The sequence below is a fragment of the Homo sapiens genome, chromosome 15 (assembly GCF_000001405.40).
Source record: "Homo sapiens chromosome 15, GRCh38.p14 Primary Assembly".
NCBI classification, from domain to species: Eukaryota; Metazoa; Chordata; class Mammalia; order Primates; family Hominidae; genus Homo; species Homo sapiens.
Window position 1 is genome coordinate 67,703,017 of NC_000015.10, and position 17,315 is coordinate 67,720,331.

Genomic DNA, 17,315 nt, shown 5'->3' on the forward strand with positions numbered 1-17,315 from the left:
CTCATTCACTACTTAGGACCTGGCCTAAATTACCTCACTACTCTGAGCCTCCATTTTCTTCATCTGTGAAATGACTTCCAAAGTCTTCCTCACAGGGACTTGGTGAGGATTCAGTAAGAATATATCTATATATAATTTCTATAGATCATCTATATACTGTATGCACAAATACATATATACACACATGTAAAATTGTTTTGTCATCCGTAAAATACTATGCAGATGTTGGTGGCTCCTCACCTTAGCTGAGCTTATTTTGGTGTATGTGTTTTCCTGAGTAGCATCCGTCCACTCACAGGCTCCCTTCTGATTTCTTGCAGCCTGAAAGGATTTCAGGGGAGCAGTATGGAATTCATTCTGATGTCTGGAGCTTAGGAATCTCTTTTATGGAGGTACGTTGTTTGCACATAGACGCTTCTGTGCATATCTGTACTAATATATTCAATCAGGAAAAGTGAAGATTTTGAAAGAATAAGCTAAAATAAACCTTCAGCATGTTATATAGATGTATACAGAGTTTGACCATAAAGTCTTTGATTCCTTGTGTGGCTTGTGAACTGACTCTGGAGGTTATTTTAAAGCACTGTTTATTACAGATCACCTGTGTAAGACCTGCCTGGAGCGCTTGTTAAAAATACAGATTCTTCAACCCCGTTCAAGACCAATTAAATCCACACCTCTAAGAATCTGCATTGTTAACCTGTTCCCTGGGTGATTCTTATACATACTAAATCTGGAGAACCCGTGATGTAAAATAGGGACTCCAGAAAAATTCTGTGCCCTGTTGGAATGCATATGTAACTTCCAACGGTGATTAGTTTAAAAGATACAGCACTACTCATTTAGATATATAAGTTATATATGTTTGTTTTAAAAGAAAAAAAAATCACCTCATTCCAGTATAGTCTTATCACATGTGTATGTGGGTTAAGGGGTGGTGTGATATGATGGAGAGGGAAGGGGGAAGAGGATGTATGTATTTAGCACAATTGCAATATCAACTCTTTATAGCTGTATTTAGAATGGACTTTATGTTAGTGTTCTAGATGTAGCTCCATTAGAACTCTATGCTATGTTTTTTTTAATAAAATGATGATTGATCTACAAAAAAATGCATGTAACTTATATTAGAAGGACATATGGCTCAGTTTGAATTATGGTAGTATAGAACCTGTATACTGACCAGTGCTTCAAAAATTCTCATTTAAATTGATTCAGATAAAGAAGGACTTGTATTTTCTTTATTTTTTCTTAATAGAGATAGGGTCTTGCCATATTGCCTGGGCTGGTCTTGAACTCTTGGGCTCAAGCAGTCCTCCTGCCTGGACTTCCCAAAGTGCTGGGATTGTAGGCAGGAGCCACTGTGCCTGGCCAGGACTTTTTATAATAGAAAAGTAGAAAGGACTCTTTAAATAATATCATAGATAGAGTTGCAATCATGATTTTGTAACCTTTTTTTTTAGTCAAATACTTTTTCTGTGAGTTTTGTAATGCATGAATGCAATTGTATTTGTAAGGAAATAATCTTCAAACTCAATTCACCTGCACAGTAGAAAGAAAGCAAAAATAAAGTGTTGAACGTTTATTAAATCATATTCTTCTGCTTCTTCTTAAAAGGGAATCTAAGAGGAAATACAATATGTATGCATCAGCTGAGAGGTTAGCGATAATGGTGGTCAGATCTCAGAACTGAGTCTCCCAACAGAATCCACAAGGGCTTATTCTATTAGCCTGTTTCAGGGGAAACTAGTGTTTTTGATTTGTGGGACTCAGTATTGCTGTTATACAATTTCCTTTTGCATATTTTAAATTGTTATCATTTATTTTATAAATGACTGGATATAGTGTAAGACAATTGAGAAGTTACATGGTGTAGAGATAAGAATCCTAGATTGGGAATGGAAGACCTGGATTACAGTTCCAGGTTTGCTACTAGTTTTTTAGGTGACCCTGTGGAAGCCACTGTTCTTCACTGGGCCTCAGTTTCTTCATTTGTAAAATATTGATCTCTAAGCCCCTTTCCAGACTAACATTCTATGACTGTGCTACTGCTCATGGTGTTGTTTTCTTTCCTTAGCTTTCACACAGCAACTCTAGAGTTGTGTGACTGAGACAGTGATAAAATGACATAAAATGCAGAGGCATGGCACTACTATAAGAGAGCATAACTATTAGATTTAAGATTTAGAGCACATATAAATGTTCACTATTCATCCTTTCTACATTCATTTATGCATTCATGTGTTGAACTCCTGCTATGCCTGCTGTATAGGCAATGGGGATAGAGTAAGGAAAAGACACTCAAGTCTTGGCTGTCATGGAGTTCCATTTGGCAAGGGCTGGGGCATGAGGGGAAGGACAGAGAACAAAGGGATAACTAAATATGTAATTTGTCAGGTGGGGATAAGTCCCATGGAGGAAAAAAAAAGCAGACTAGGCTGGGCTCAGTGGCTCATGCCCATAATCCCAACACTTTGGGAGGCTGAGGTGGGCAGATCACCTGAAGTCAGGAGTTCGAGACAAGCCTGACCAACATGGAGAAACCCTGTCTCAACTAAAAATACAAACAATTAGCTGGGTGTGGTGGTGTACACCTGTAATCCCAGCTACTCGGGAGGCTGAGGCAGGAGAATCACTTGAACCCAGGAGGCGGAGGTTGTGGTGAGCCAAGATCGTGCCATTGTGCTCCAGCCTGTGTAACAAGAGCGAAACTCCATCTCAAAAAAAAAAAGAAAGAAAGCAGACTAGACTAGTCCTCTCTGGTAAAGTACCACTTGAGCAGATACTTGAATGCTGTGAGAGAAGGAAGCCACCTGATAACAAGCTCAAAGGCACCAAGATAGAGTACACTCTCAGCGTATTTAAGGAAGAGAGAGACCAGTGTGACTTGACTGGAGTTAACAAGGGGAAAAGTGGGAAAAAATAAATTTAGAGAGGTAGCCAGGGGCCAGGGCAAATATAGCCTTGTAGGCCATGCTAAGGACTTTAGGTATTACTCTTAGAAGAAATGATCTGACTTAAATTTTCACAGTATCACTGAGTGCTCTGTGGAGCATGACTATAGACAGGCAGGTGTGGAAACAGGGAGATCCGTTTAAGTAGGTAGGAGGACAGGTGCTCAATAAATATATTTATGTTGCATATTGAAATATGTGTCTGTCTGCCAGTATTTTGCTGGGTGCTAGGGGTACAAAGATTAATAAAAAGAGACTCTTTGTAGTGTAAGGAAGGAGATTGCCATTGATATATTTGGGTTCTGTTGATGATATTCATTTATCCTGGAGATAAACTATTGAATATTCTGTGGAGGACTGAAGAAAACAGACTCATTGAATTTTCAGGATCGAAGAGGATTAGGTATAGAGAACTCTGTGAAAAAGTGTCAGCATTGAGTGTGGGACACCTGAATGCTGTAAGGACTGTGTTGGCTCGTGTGGTAGAGAGCAGATAACCAGATGGTCAGGAGTGAGGGCCAGGAAGAGCTAGGCCTTTTGATGCTCCTTGTATTTTAAAATGGATGGTAAGGAGCCGGGTGTTACAGCAGGAGGAAGAGATGTTGTTAGAGGTTGTAAAGAGGAATCAGATTATGATCATCAGAGAGGGTTGTTGAGCACCTCTGTACATGATGCTTAACTAAATGCCTTCAGAAGGAACTATAGGATTGTAGCCCCTGACCTCTAGGGGCTTATTACCCCCACACAACATGTTACCAACACAAGTAATAGACCAGTAAGTCATTAGAGAATAGTGTAAGGCCCCTGGCATGTTTTATATACCTAATCTATTTGGGGTCCAGGGTAAAGAAAAATATGTGATAGGGAAGAGAAGTAGGAGGTTATGAGTCCATACATGAGAAATTGTGGGGATTCAGTAGTGAAGGTTACAAGAGAAACCCAAGGTTCTTGTGTTTTCTTTTTGAGACGGAGTCTTGCTCTGTCGCCCAGGCTGCAGTGCAGTGGCACAATCTCGGCTCACTGCAACCTCCGCCTCCCAGGTTCAAGTGATTCTCCTGCCTCAGCCTCCCGAGTAGCTGGGACTACAAGCGCGTGCCACCATGCCCGGATAATTTTTTGTATTTTTAGTAGAGACAGGGTTTCACCATGTTAGCCAGGATGGCCTCGATCTCCTGACCTTGTGATCTGCCCGTCTTGGCCTCCCAAAGTGCTGGGATTACAGGCGTGAGCCACCATGACCAGCTGGTTCTTGTTTTTTCTTAAGGGTCAATATAATGAGAACATTACCTGAAGGGATTAGGAAGTTAGTCCAAAAGAAGTACTTGAAGACCAAGATTCTTATTTGTTTTTACCGTAGTATGTTAGGAATAGATGTAGCAAATCCAATTTAAAATCACTATAGACAGAAGTGTGAATCTCAATAGCATTTTAGAATCTGAGGAACAAAGTGCATTCTGTAACATAGTCAACACTTTCTAAGAATTACTCCTCTTCTGTTTATTCTCACTTGTAAAAACAAAATTCTCTTTCTAGTAGAAACTTTCCTTTCTTCAATAATTCTTACTTAAGCACTTGCCCTGTGCCAGGCCCTGGAGAGTGGGGCACACAGAGCTGAGGAGAGCCCACCTCTGGTAGAAAAGAAAGATACCCAAAGCCCAGAATGGTGTGATGAGTCTTCAGTAGAGATGTTTACAAAGGACTCTGAGCCACAAGGGGAAGGGGGTGGGGTTTCACACAAAGGAATTGACATTTAAGGGAGATTGGTCTTGAACAGACTTTGCCACTAGGAGAAAGAGGGAAAAGATAGAGGATCTCTTCCCCATTTCCCAGCACACTCTAAGGTATGGATCCCTGTAAACACTTAAGGAGAGATCAAATGTCAAAGTATGCAAGGTCTCCCCTGGTGTAGTTTCACTACTTTTTTGTGTGCATGCCTTCTTCAAAGTATTTTAAGTTAACCAGTTTATTCTCCTAGGGTACCTGTGGTAAAGAAAAAAAAACTGATAAAAATGTAGGAAACCGAGCAAAGGAATTTCCCTGAAATTACACAGGAATCAAATACAGGCTAGGCCTGGCGGCTCATTCCTGTAATACCAGCACTTTGAGAGGCTGAGGCAGGAGGATTGCTTGAGGCCAGGAGTTCAACACTAGTCTGGGCAACATAGCAAGACTCCATCTCTAAAAAAACAATTTTTTTTTTCATTTAGCCAGGAATGGTGGTGTGTGCCTATAGTCCTTGCTATGTGGCAGGCTGAGGCAGGAAAATTGCTAGAGCCTAGGAGTTTGAGGCTGCAGTGAGCTATGATTGCACCACCACACTCCAGCCTAGTCAACAGAGCAAGATGCTGTCTTAAAAAAAAAAAAAATCAGATAGAGACAAAATGGGCATGAGAGTTTTCTGTCTCCTTTACATCTCCCTAGCACCCTTTCCTCCAGTTCCATAAACTGTCATCTCTGAGGTTTGGTGATGCCAGAAGCAGAAAGTTCAATTTACAGCTGTCAGACTTGAAGCCTGCCCCCTGCCTCCCACTTTTTTTTTCTAGAGACGTGGTCTTGATATGTTGCCCAGTGTTGCCTCGAATTCCTGGGGTCAAGTGATCCTCCTGCCTCAGCCTCTTGAGTAGCTAGGACTACAGGTGTACCACTGCACCTGGCTGAACGCCTTCATTGTTTTAAACCCCTGAAGTGACAGGGTTCCTCCTTGCCTGCCTTCTTCCTCCTGCCCATTGCCTTGTTAATATGCTGTCACAGCCCCCATGGGGAGTCATAAAAAGGCCTCTTGCCACACTCTTTCATAAAAGATGATGCTACATGCTGCTAAAATGTGCCATTAAAAAAAAAAACTCACTGACAGGTACATTTATGCCTTAAGCAAAGAAACTTTAATATCAGACTATCTTTTATCCAGGGACAGAATCGCTTCTCTCTCCTTTCAGTACAGTATCCCTCTGTTGGTGGGGTAAAGGACATCTCTTCCAGGTTTTTGTCAACTGAATGTAGTATTTGGAGTTGGCAGATGTAACAAAAAGATGGAAGTTATCCTTAGGAAGGGAAAAAAAGATTATTCACCTTGACTGATGTATGGCAGTTTGACTTGATGGGAAGAATTTGGCCTGTTTCTCCATTGTTTGTTTGTGGTTTTTAACTCACATCTTTAAATGTGTTGTAGTTCCCCTCCTGTGGATTAGTTATGGAATCATTAAAGGTCATTGCCACATATGGGATTTGTGTGGGCTCACTCTGTATTGGGGAAGAGAACCCGTGTGGAACTGTAGTTCTTTCTCCTTGAAACTTTGTTAGCAAGAATCAATGTGGAAATGCAAAAAGAAAATAAAAAAGAAGTGAGACCCACTAACAAGGTTGTAAAATTCCTGAACTAGGACAAACTAGGAGGGTAATCCTTCCCTGGAATATTTGTTTACCTCTTCTAGAAAGCTCATACTGATTCAGTTGCCTAGGAGATTTTTAGGATTATTAACCTTGTAGTCTCTGTTCAAGACTTCAGGGCAAAAAAAAAAAAAAAACTACAGGGCTAAACTTTAAAATGAAAATGAGTTTGTTATATAATAAGGGCTTTACCAAGTTTGATAGTTTTATTAGGGGTGGCTAAAACATTTTAGAGCATAATTTCTGAATTTCACAGGCAGTTCAGTGCTTATCTCTTCTAAAGAATGGCTTAAGGAGAAAGTCCCACTCTCATTTTTTACTAAGTAATTATTCCATTTATATTCTTGTGTCATTTGAGTTCACAACATAAATCTGTAGTTGGGAAGTAAACAGTCATATCTGCAAAAGTGAATTTTAAGTGGGTCCTTCTTGAGTCAAAAAATAAGTCAACATACATTCTCCGCTAGCCTTGCAATTTGCAGTATTTAGGATGATGCATCTACATTAAAAAGGCACCAAGCCAGTCCTGTAATATTCTTATTTTCACTGAGTATGCTGTACAAATACATGTTCTGGTTTGGGATTCTATGTGGTGGGTTATTATAAACTTTATTAAGGTTGATGGTGAATAATCTGACAGACTTTTCTATAGGAGTCAGACTGAAAGCCTGCCCCCCACCCTTTTTTAGAGGCAGAGTCTTGCTAGGTTGCCCAGGCTTGCCTTGAATTCCTGGGTTCAAGCGATCCTCCCTCCTCAGCCTCCTGAGTAGCTAGGACTACAGGTGCACCACCGCACCCATCTGAAAGCCCCATCTTTAGCATATGCATAGCATACGCATTTTGCTCTTTTCACTTGGATCTTCATTCTTTCTGCCTGTTTGCCACCCCTCTAACCAGTCTCCTGAGTCTGAGGCATAGAACAGTCTGGCTCAATGTGCTTGGTTAATTGGTGCGTCATCTAGTCCTCGGAGACCCCTCTTCATCATGACCAGTGTTTTATTGAAGTGGTTTGAATGATGTGCTGAATGATGAAAGCAAGGACCATGGCTTAGAAAAATGTCTCAACATAGGTAAAGAACATAGTCAGAGAACAACACAAGGTCATTGTCACTGTCATCCAAGTAACATCATCTTCTGAAGTTTTTTTTTTTTTTTTTTTTTTTTGAGATAGAGTCTCGCTCTGTCACCCAGGCTGGAGTGCAGTGGCACAGTCTTAACTCATTGCAACCTCCGCCTCCCAGGTTCAAGCAATTCTCCTGTCTTAGCCTCCTGAGTAGCTGGGATCACAGGCATGCGCCACCACGCCCGGCTGATTTTTGTATTTTTAGTAGAGATGGGGTTTCGCCATGTTGGCCAGGCTGGTCTTGAACTCCTGACCTCAGGTGATCCACCCGCCTTGGCCTCCCAAAGTGCTGGGATTACAGGCATGAGCCACGGCACCTGGCCATCTTCTGAAGATTTTTTGGGCTCTATTATTTTGACAAAAAGAATTGTGAGTTTTAGAATTACCTTTACCAAGTTAAAAATAAACCCATGGAATAATAAATACGCTGTTCTCTGTACATGTAATATCATTTTTCTTCATCTCCCCAAGATACAGTTTAAATAACCATCCTTCATGATACCAACTCTGATATCTCCAGCTGAAGGTAATATCTTCTTCTTCTGACCTTCACCTGCATCTTCCTTGTGGCATGTAAATTGTCCACTTTGTATTACAGTAATTTATAGGCATGTCATAGTTCCTTATGACAGGATTCAAATATGATTCTCTCATAATCTTCTATGCTGTTTAGTACAATTCCATTGCCCTAGTGGGCACTCAGTAAATCTTTTTGACTCAAATTTTTCCTACTTTTGTAATGGTTTTTTTAAAGCAGTTTCAGAAAATAAAGATCAGAGTTTAAAGTGTGATGGAGTCTTTAATATAAATGCCCGTAAGTGTTTGGAGAATAGATCACAGTGTTGTGCTTGTGAAGAAGAGCTTTCAGTTTACCAAGGTATCAGATCCAGATTTGAATTCCACTTCAGCCAGCCTAAGCTATAGAACCTTCGGTAAATTACTTAACTTCTCTGAGCCTCAGTTTCCTCCTCTTTAGATGGGAGATCTATTTCAGAGCTTTTGGACAAAGTTCACAAGGGAAAAAAGCCATTATCCCCTCTCTTTAAAAGGAATTACCGTTTGAAATGTTTACATTTGAATCAGACTGCTAATTTGGTTAAAGATGGTGCAAGCTTTAGCTTACAGTTTCACCTCAACCTCCACTAAAAATAGCCATAACGTGATTTACACACGCACACACAGGCGTGCACGCACACACACACACACACACACAAAAGGATAATACCATAAAGAGAAAGGGAAAAGAGACAACAGCACTCAAGTTTTGAATATGAGACAACAGTAAACAACTGAGCAGGGCTGAGAATACAAGCAAGCAGGCAATCTGATATATTGTAAACACCCAAAGGGTCAGGAATTGGTGGGACGAGATATGTGGAGCCAGGAGTCAAGGTGGGACCAAGAGAGGAGAATTGCTTTAAAGTCAGTTTGACAATTATGATAAGACTAGTTAATCTTTCATTTATTACAAACTAATATGAATTGCTCATGAAAACCCAATAGAAAACAATTGTTAATGTACTGGAGTAAACACCATGGGTGGACACTCAATCTAACAAAACTGAGTGGAGCGTTTTCTGGAGCAAATAAAATAAGTGATACCTGGCACCATAGAAGTCTGGGTCCCATTACTACGTTCAGAGGCATTAAGTGAAGGTTTAGATTCTGAATGTTGAGACCTCCCACCCTGTTCCTAGGACACTCGTGATTACTTTACACTCAAAGATTACTTTTCAGGCAGGAGATAGCAGAGACTTTCTCTAGGGAAATCTGACTAGGAAGACTTAAAGATCCAGACGTTTGGAGTTCCCCCAAGGAAACAGCCTAGCTAAATCATGCTCCCAGGAGAGCCCTTAGTCTACAAGCCCCATCCATGAGCACAGTTTCCAGTGAGATTTTCAGTGCCTTACTCTTACAGAGACATTTGAGAAAGGCCTTTAGGGTCAGAACAGAGGCCTACAACAACTAAAAAGAAAAGCAATTTGGATGGCCAGAAAACTGTGCAGAGGGTAAAAAGTTCAAATAAACTACCAGTTGTATCCTCAGAGGACTAAAGAGAAAATAGTGCACTCAGAATATAAGAACAGGCTGCTGTAACAAAAGGAACTTTCAGAGAACAGCAAGAAATAGGAGAGAAATGAAAAAAGAACCAAGTCGGCCAGGTGCAGTGGCTCAAGCCTGTAATCCCAACACTTTAGGAGGCCGAGGCAGGCGGATCACGAGGTCAGGAGATCAAGACCATCCTGGTTAACATGGTGAAACTCCATCTCTACTAAAAATACAAAAAATTAGCTGGGTGTGGTGGCAGGTGTCTGTAGTCCCAGCTACTCAGGAGGCTGAGGCAGGAGAATGGTGTGAATCTGGGAGGCAGAGCTTGCAGTGAGCTGAGATCATGCCATTGCACTCCGCCTGGGCGACAGAGCAGGCTGTCTCAAAAAAAAAAAAAGAACCAAGTCATGAAGTTCATGACAACTTCTCATTAAAGAACCAAGTCAAGAAGTAACATGAAAAATAGAAGTTCCAGGAAGAAAGAACAGAGGAAACAAAGGGGAAGAAATCATCAAAGAAAAATTTTAAATTTTAATGTTATAACATGGGAAAAATATATGTTTGTACAAGATTGCCCTTCTCTTAGTATTCCTATAGAAAAAAAATCATTTTTTTTCCCCAAATGACATATGGCAGTGTTTTTTCTCAGAAAAAGTGAGTTTTTGTTGAGGATTAGTAATAGAAATTTTCCCAAGGAAAATTTACTATAAAAAATACAAATAATTGGATATAACTACCTTTTGTCTCATTGGAATGTACAAGCTTAACACATCTAATTTTTACATACACATATTGTTTAATGGATGCCAGATAAGACTCATTAGATATCAAGAAAATGAATTGTGATCTTCTATACGTATAAGTAAACACATAAACCATGTAGAGCTGTGTAAATGTAAATAAAAGTATTTAAAAGGTGGCATGGGCCATGTGTGGTAGCTCACACCTGTAATCCCAGCACTTTGGAAGGCCGAGGCGGGTTGATCACCTGAGGTCGGGAGTTTGAGACCAGCCTGGCCAACATGGCAAAACCCCGTCTCTACTAAAAATACAAAAATTAGCTGGGCATGGTGGCAGGCGCCTGTAATCCCAGTTACTTGGGAGGCTGAGGCAGGACAATTGCTTGAACCCAGGAGGCAGAGGTTGCAGTGAGCCGAGATCACGCCACTGCACTCCAGCCTGGGTGACAGAGTGAGACTCCGTCTCAAAAAAAAAAAAAAGTGGCATGGATCACCCAGCCCAGTACCCTTGACAGAAGCTTCTGGAGAAATTTGATGGCGAGTTTGTCATTTTGTCATTTTCTTTCCAATATCATTTTTAGATTCAAGGGCTGTTATCCTAATTTTTGAACTGTTAAAGAGCTTAGACTGGATTAACCAGAATTCAGTTCACATATTGGCACCAACACTTATAATCAGTGTGATCTTAGCCAGTTCAGTTTGTCACTCCAAGTGTCAGTTTCTTATGTATAAGTTGAAGGTAACATTAGAATTCATTCATTCCTTAAATATTTATTGAACACCTTTTACATGTCAAACACGTTATTAAGTGCTGGGATACATTGGCAAACAAAATAGGCATATTCCCTTTCCTTGTTGAGCCTACAATGTATTAAGGGAGGCAGAAGATAAACAATAATAAACACTTATGTTTTTTGAAAGGAAGATTAGAAATATATTCAATATTCTAGGCTTTTTCATGAACACTTTTATTTAACATTAGCAACCACATAAAGTTACTTGAAGAAGTAAGCCTTTTGAAATAGCATCTTATATGTATTGAGTGCTTACCAAGTAATAAGAATTATGAAACATTATCTAGCCTTGGCTCTTGCCTCTAAATATACAGAACTCATTTTCCCCCCACCCCTACCCAGCTGCCAGGGAAAAAAAAAAAAAAAAAAAAAAAAAAAAAAAAAAAAAAAAACCACCACCCTGACACAGCTGTTTCTAATGGGTGTGTGGTTGTGGCTTTGTTTGCTTTTCTAGCCCTTGGTGATTGTGAACTGGTCCGAGGGGTGACGGATGGCTCTGTATGCTCTGTAAGCAGCTGCCGTCAACTTTTCCACACCATAAAAATTTGCCATTTGGTGTGTTTCACTCAAATACTGATATTTTCTCTTCTTCTTTTTAAATATTTAGTTTCAAGAATGTGAGTGAAATCTTACTACATGTTGAATATTCCTAACCTGAAAGCCCAAAATTTGAAGTACTCCCAAATTCGAAATTTTTTGAGCACTAACTTGAACCTCAAAGGTCACACTAATGGGAGCATTTAGGATTTCAGGTTTTTGGATTGGGGATGCTGGTAAGTATAATGCAAACATTTCAAAATCCGAAAAAGGCCAATATCTGAAATATTTCTGGTCCCAGGTAGTTCAGATAAAGTATACACTCAACGTGGATCATGTTCAGTCTCCTGATCCAACTAGTGAAACATTTTACCTGTTGACCAAAGTTTTTGCTGAGGACCATCAAAAGGTGAAAGGATCTGAAGGGCCCAAAGACAAAGGAAATTTCCATGGAAGATTTTATAGGAAAGTGGGGAGGATGTAATTCTGGAATCCTTGTCATGGGTCCTCCCCTCCCACTGAAGGATGCTGAGGAAAAGAACATGTAACAGTTTCTGTCACTCATTCCCCTGCTCTTACTCCCTTTTCTGTAATTCTGTCTTGATTTTTTTCCACTGTCTTTTTTTTGGGCGGGGAGGGGGGGGGTCTAAAATTGTGTGTAACTTAATGCAAAAGGAGCTGTTAAAATGACCTTTGGCAGATGATGGATTGACTAGTTCAGTCCTTTGCAAGGTCTGTGAAGGGATCCAGCTGTCTCATATTACCATGCCTAAATGTGCATTTTCCAAGGTTGTCAGTGATTGTAGTGAATGTGAAACTGGCAGACAAAGTGAAGTGTTTCCCACTGAATAAAGCATTGTTGAGTTTGCTTTGTGTTCAGAGCTGTCGGGAACAACCATGAGATTGACAAAACAAGATGGAACAGGTGCTAGCAGTCCCAGCTAAGCATTTTGTTATTTTGATGGATTTCAGACTGATTTTAAAGTTTTTCCAACAGCACATACTCATATCATGTATACACACAAATACACAGAATTTGAAATTTAAAAAAAAGCAAAGTCTTGATATGAAGAATAAAGAAAGACAAAGCAGGCATTTGACAACCCATTTTCAGATGTTTGAAGGATTGTCAGTGGAGAAGCAGCAAGCTGATCTTTTATGACAAGAAGGCTGAACCTCCTGAAGCTAAAACAAAAGCCAAAAAAATAATAAACTCCCATGACTTTCTATTCAGTATAAAGAAGGATTTTCTGATGGATAGAACTCTACACTTTCCTCCTCAACAGTGAAATCATTTGCCTTTAGAGGTAAAAATGTCCCATCCCTGGGGACACATAAGTAGGGACTGAAGGACTGTTTGTCTCAGATTTTTTTCTGTAGAAGACACAGATATAAGGTTAGACAAGATGCAGTCATATATTCATTTGGTCACTCAGCAAATATTTTTTTGAGTGCCTAGTATGTGGCAGGCCCTGTGCTAGTCACTGGGGACACTGCTGAGAACAAAACTGACAAAATCCCTGCTTTAATGGAGCCTACATTTTAAAAAAGAATACTTGATCATTGTACCTTTTTAGACAAATAAGCGAGTTAAGCTGCACATGGTGACGCACACCAGTAGTCCCAGCTACTCGGGAGGCTGAGGCAGGAGGATCCCTTGAGCCCAGGAGTTTGAGGCTGCAGTAAGCTATGATCATGCCATTGCACTCCAGCAACCGAGCAAGACTCTGACTCTAAAAATAAAAAAGAAAATAAATAAACAAACAGGATGATATGCTAGGAGTAACTGAGTGGTATTGGATTACTTTTGAGTTGAGATCTGAAAGATAAGAAGGAACCAGTCTTCTGGTGACATGTCTCAACACTAAAATTCTGAGTCTATGATAATTTTGGGAACCATGTCTGCCAACTTTGAGATATCCAGTGGTAAAAACCACTGCTCCTAGAAAATTCTCTTATATGCCTTATGTTGTATTTAGAAACTAGAATTTTTTTTAACCTAAAGGGAGACTTTAACTTAAAGAGAGACTTCAGAGCTTGTTAAATCAGACCACTTCTCTTAGCAGTGAGGAAGCTGGTCTCCAGGGAACTGTGCAGAAGAGGACTGGAATCTGGGTCTTCTGATGTGAAATGTAGTGCTCTTTCCTCTCTTCCAAGCTCTTGACATCCTCTTGCTCAGTGTCATTCTAACAAGAAGGGTGACAACATCACACTTTTTTTTAATGTAACACTTAACAAAGCTATTTGGTATTCATTATCTCTTTCAAGCTTCTCCCCACTCTGAAAAATCAGCAACTTGAGGCACCAAATATTGTTTCACTTTATAAGCATCAAAGTTCCCATTTTGCAAATGAGGAAACTTAGATCCAGATAAGTTAAAGGACTTTTCTAGAAAGGTTAAGTGAATAGCTCAGGCAGCAGCAGTCAAGTATTCTGACTCATGGATTCAAGTCTGCTTCTTCCATTATGCTTTAGGAAAGTAGATCAAGTAGTTTGAAAAAAGAAGAGATGAATGGTAAATGGAACTGAGCAGGAAATCAGATAAAGGAAAAGACAGGTTAACTGTGACTCTGCTGGTCAGTTAAGACTGCTTTTCATAGGATTATACCTTACACTATCCCTGTAGCTGGTTTAGTTTCACCATATTTCAAAATGTGCTAGTTACCTTTCAGAAACTAAGGCCTAGTTTATTTATTAAAAAGAAACACAAATATTAACCTAATCTCCAGTATGTCTACTGTAATAGGAAGTAGGTAGGTAAGGATCTCATCTAATTAGTAAATATTTATCAAGTACTACCCAGTGTTGGCAGTAAGGGTACATACTTTGCCCTCAGTGACTCCTTGACTAATAGGTAGAAAGAAAAGTAAAAGTGCAATGGAAACATGTAGAACTGGGCACATGAGAGTGTGGGCTGACATGAGTGTCAGAGAAAGCATTTCAGTTATTGATTACTGCTTAATAACCTACCCAAAATTAGTGGCTTAAAATAACCATTTATTTACTCAGGATTCTGTGGGTCAGGAATCCTAGCAAGGCCCAGCCATTCTATGTAGCATCAAAAGCCTCTCATGAGGTTGCAGTTGGGTAGTGGTTAAGGATGGAAGATCCAAGATGACTTCATATGCGTGTATGATGCTTTGGTGGGGATGGCCAGGAGTGGCTGGGACCCTCCTCTCCCATCTCCCCTTCATGGCTAGCTTAGACTTCCTTTGTGGTGCCTGGTGTTCTAAGCTGTGATTGCAAAAGCTACAGATCTGTTAAGGCCCAACCTCAGAAATTACACAGGATTGTTCCTGCCACATTCTGTTGATCACAGTGTAGGTTCTTGATGATGAAACAACAGGGTCACATTCCAAAAGAGCATCTTGGGCTGTAGATTCTTTTAAGGCCATCACTGGAAGCACGGCACATTTCAGAAAGCTTCCTAGAAGTGCTGGTATCTAAGTTAAGTTTTGATGAATGGGTTAGATTTGGAGGGCAGTGTTCCAACAGGAGCAGCAGCATGTACAGAGGCCAGAAGTATGAGAATATCAGCTGTTTATGACTCCCTTGACTTTGAAATGTCTAGAAATAGAAATGTGAGTGAAGTTGAGCTCAATAGACTAGACCCCAGCCCTGATGTTTTCTCAAATACCCACAGCTGCATGATTTCAGAGAATGGTTTAGAACTGGAAGCCCCCAAAGCTAGGTCTCTAAGAGACCATTGTCATGATTAGGGGTGCCTGCTGTCAGAGGACACAGGTCAGCGTTACACAAACTTTTTAAAAGGGTGTTATTTCTTAATTCTTATTATGAGGATTCAAATGGCTGTTGAAGTAAACACGTGAGATGGGGTTTGGGGCAGTTAACTCTAATCATTTTTAAAAAATTTTTATGGGGGCTGGGTGCAGTGTCTCATGCCTGTAATCCCAGCACTTTGGGAGGCTGAGGTGGGTGGATCACTTGAAGTCAGGAGTTTGAGACCAGCCTGGCCAACATGATGAATCCCCGTCTCTACTAAAAATACAAAAATTAGCCAGGCGTGGTGGTATGCACCTGTAATCCAAGCTACTTGGGAGGCTGAGGCAGGAGAATCGCTTGAACCTGAGAGGTGGAGGTTGCAGTGAGCCGAGATCATGCTACTGCACTCCAGCTTGGGTGACAGAGCGAGACTCCATCTCAAAAAATATTTTTTATGGGTACATAGTAAGTGTACATGTGTATGGGGTACATGAGATATTTTGATACAGGCATACAATGTGTAATAATCACATCAGGGTAAATGGGGTATTCACCTCAAGCATTTATCATTTCTTTTTGTTACAAACATTCCAATTATACTTTTAGTTATTTTTAAATGTACAGTAAATTTTTGTTGACTGTAATCACCTGTTGTGCCATGAATTACTAGAATTTTATTCATTCTAACTTTATTTTTGTACCCATTAATCATCCCCACTCTTCTCCTTGCCAACTACCCTTCCCAGCCTCTGGTAACCATCATTCTACTGTCTATCTCCATGAGTTCAATTCATTTAATTCTAATCTTTTTCTTCCTTGGCAACCTTTTAATCTTTAATAAGAAATAAGTCATCTAAATTCATCATAATGGTTAAATATGTGAAAATGGTAGCTACTGATCAGTCTAAGCAGTGATACGTAAGAGGGCCTTGTCGGTTAAGACCATCAGATCCTAATACTAAAGAGTTTGTGTACCATGTTCATTAAGGTACTGTGGCATAGAAACAAGCAAACCAGGCACCTCCAGGTTGACCAGTCTCCAGGAGAGATCAGCATCAGGGGATATATCATAATCAACAAATGCTTATTGTCAACCTACTGCAAAATGCTATTTCTGATGTCATGGAGAACATAAAAGTTTATGATTTATACTTTGCCCTTAAACAAGTTAAAATTTATAAGGCACTAGAAACACAGGAAGATGTAGAACACTGGGAACTGTCACCAGGAAGGATGTGATACACACTGCCCAGTGAAGGGTATGGGCAGAGAGTGGTATGAAGTTTGTCTACAAAATTGTGGGTAGAGTCTTCTAGGATTAACTCCTGACAGAAGAGGAGAAAAGGAGGAACAATTTGAATCAAGTCCTGAAAGAATAGGTAGGCTGGAAATCTATCTACTCATCTGTTGCAACATCTCAGATTCCAGATAGGAAAACTGCCCTCAGTGTTGCATTTTGAGCTATGCAAACATTTGAAGAACATTCATTTTTCAATTAGAAAAGTAAAATGGTTGCTCTCATTAATCATGACTAAACTTTATGTCTCTTTAACTCAGAGTCTCTCACGAATTTCCTCTCAGTGCACAGAATACCATGGAAAAAGACCTTTGCCATTGTTTTTAACTGACTTTTAGAGATTTAGTTATATACCCAGATATTTTCATTAGTATTCTGTGAGTAGAGCTGTTGATGGAAATCAACATGGAACGGTTAAAGTGTCTGTAAAGCTACAAAAGTGGGCATTTTTAAATTGAGGGTTTTTTCCCCTTTTTTATTTATCAATTAGCTGCCTTATACTTACTATGGCCTAGTTAAAATTGTATATTCCATTTAAACACAGTATCTAACCAAAAAGTTACTCAGCTAGGGTTTTTGGTTTAATGTAGTATAGACAGATTAATATACACATACACAAACATAAACACACGCATATATATACACACACATATGCTTATATATACATAAGTATACACATACATACACACACATATGCTTATACATACATAA

The 17,315-nt window shown here is 39.8% G+C and overlaps 1 protein-coding gene across 3 annotated transcripts in view; it reads left to right on the top strand.

Moving 5' to 3' along the window:
* MAP2K5 (mitogen-activated protein kinase kinase 5) overlaps nt 1-17,315 on the top strand; it is a 264,412-nt gene that overhangs the window by 160,314 nt on the left and 86,783 nt on the right. For all 3 annotated transcript variants that reach the window (NM_145160.3, NM_002757.4, NM_001206804.2), the window contains exon 16: nt 321-392. In NM_145160.3, the coding sequence (NP_660143.1) occupies nt 321-392 (72 nt within the window). The remainder of the gene's footprint in view (nt 1-320; nt 393-17,315) is intronic.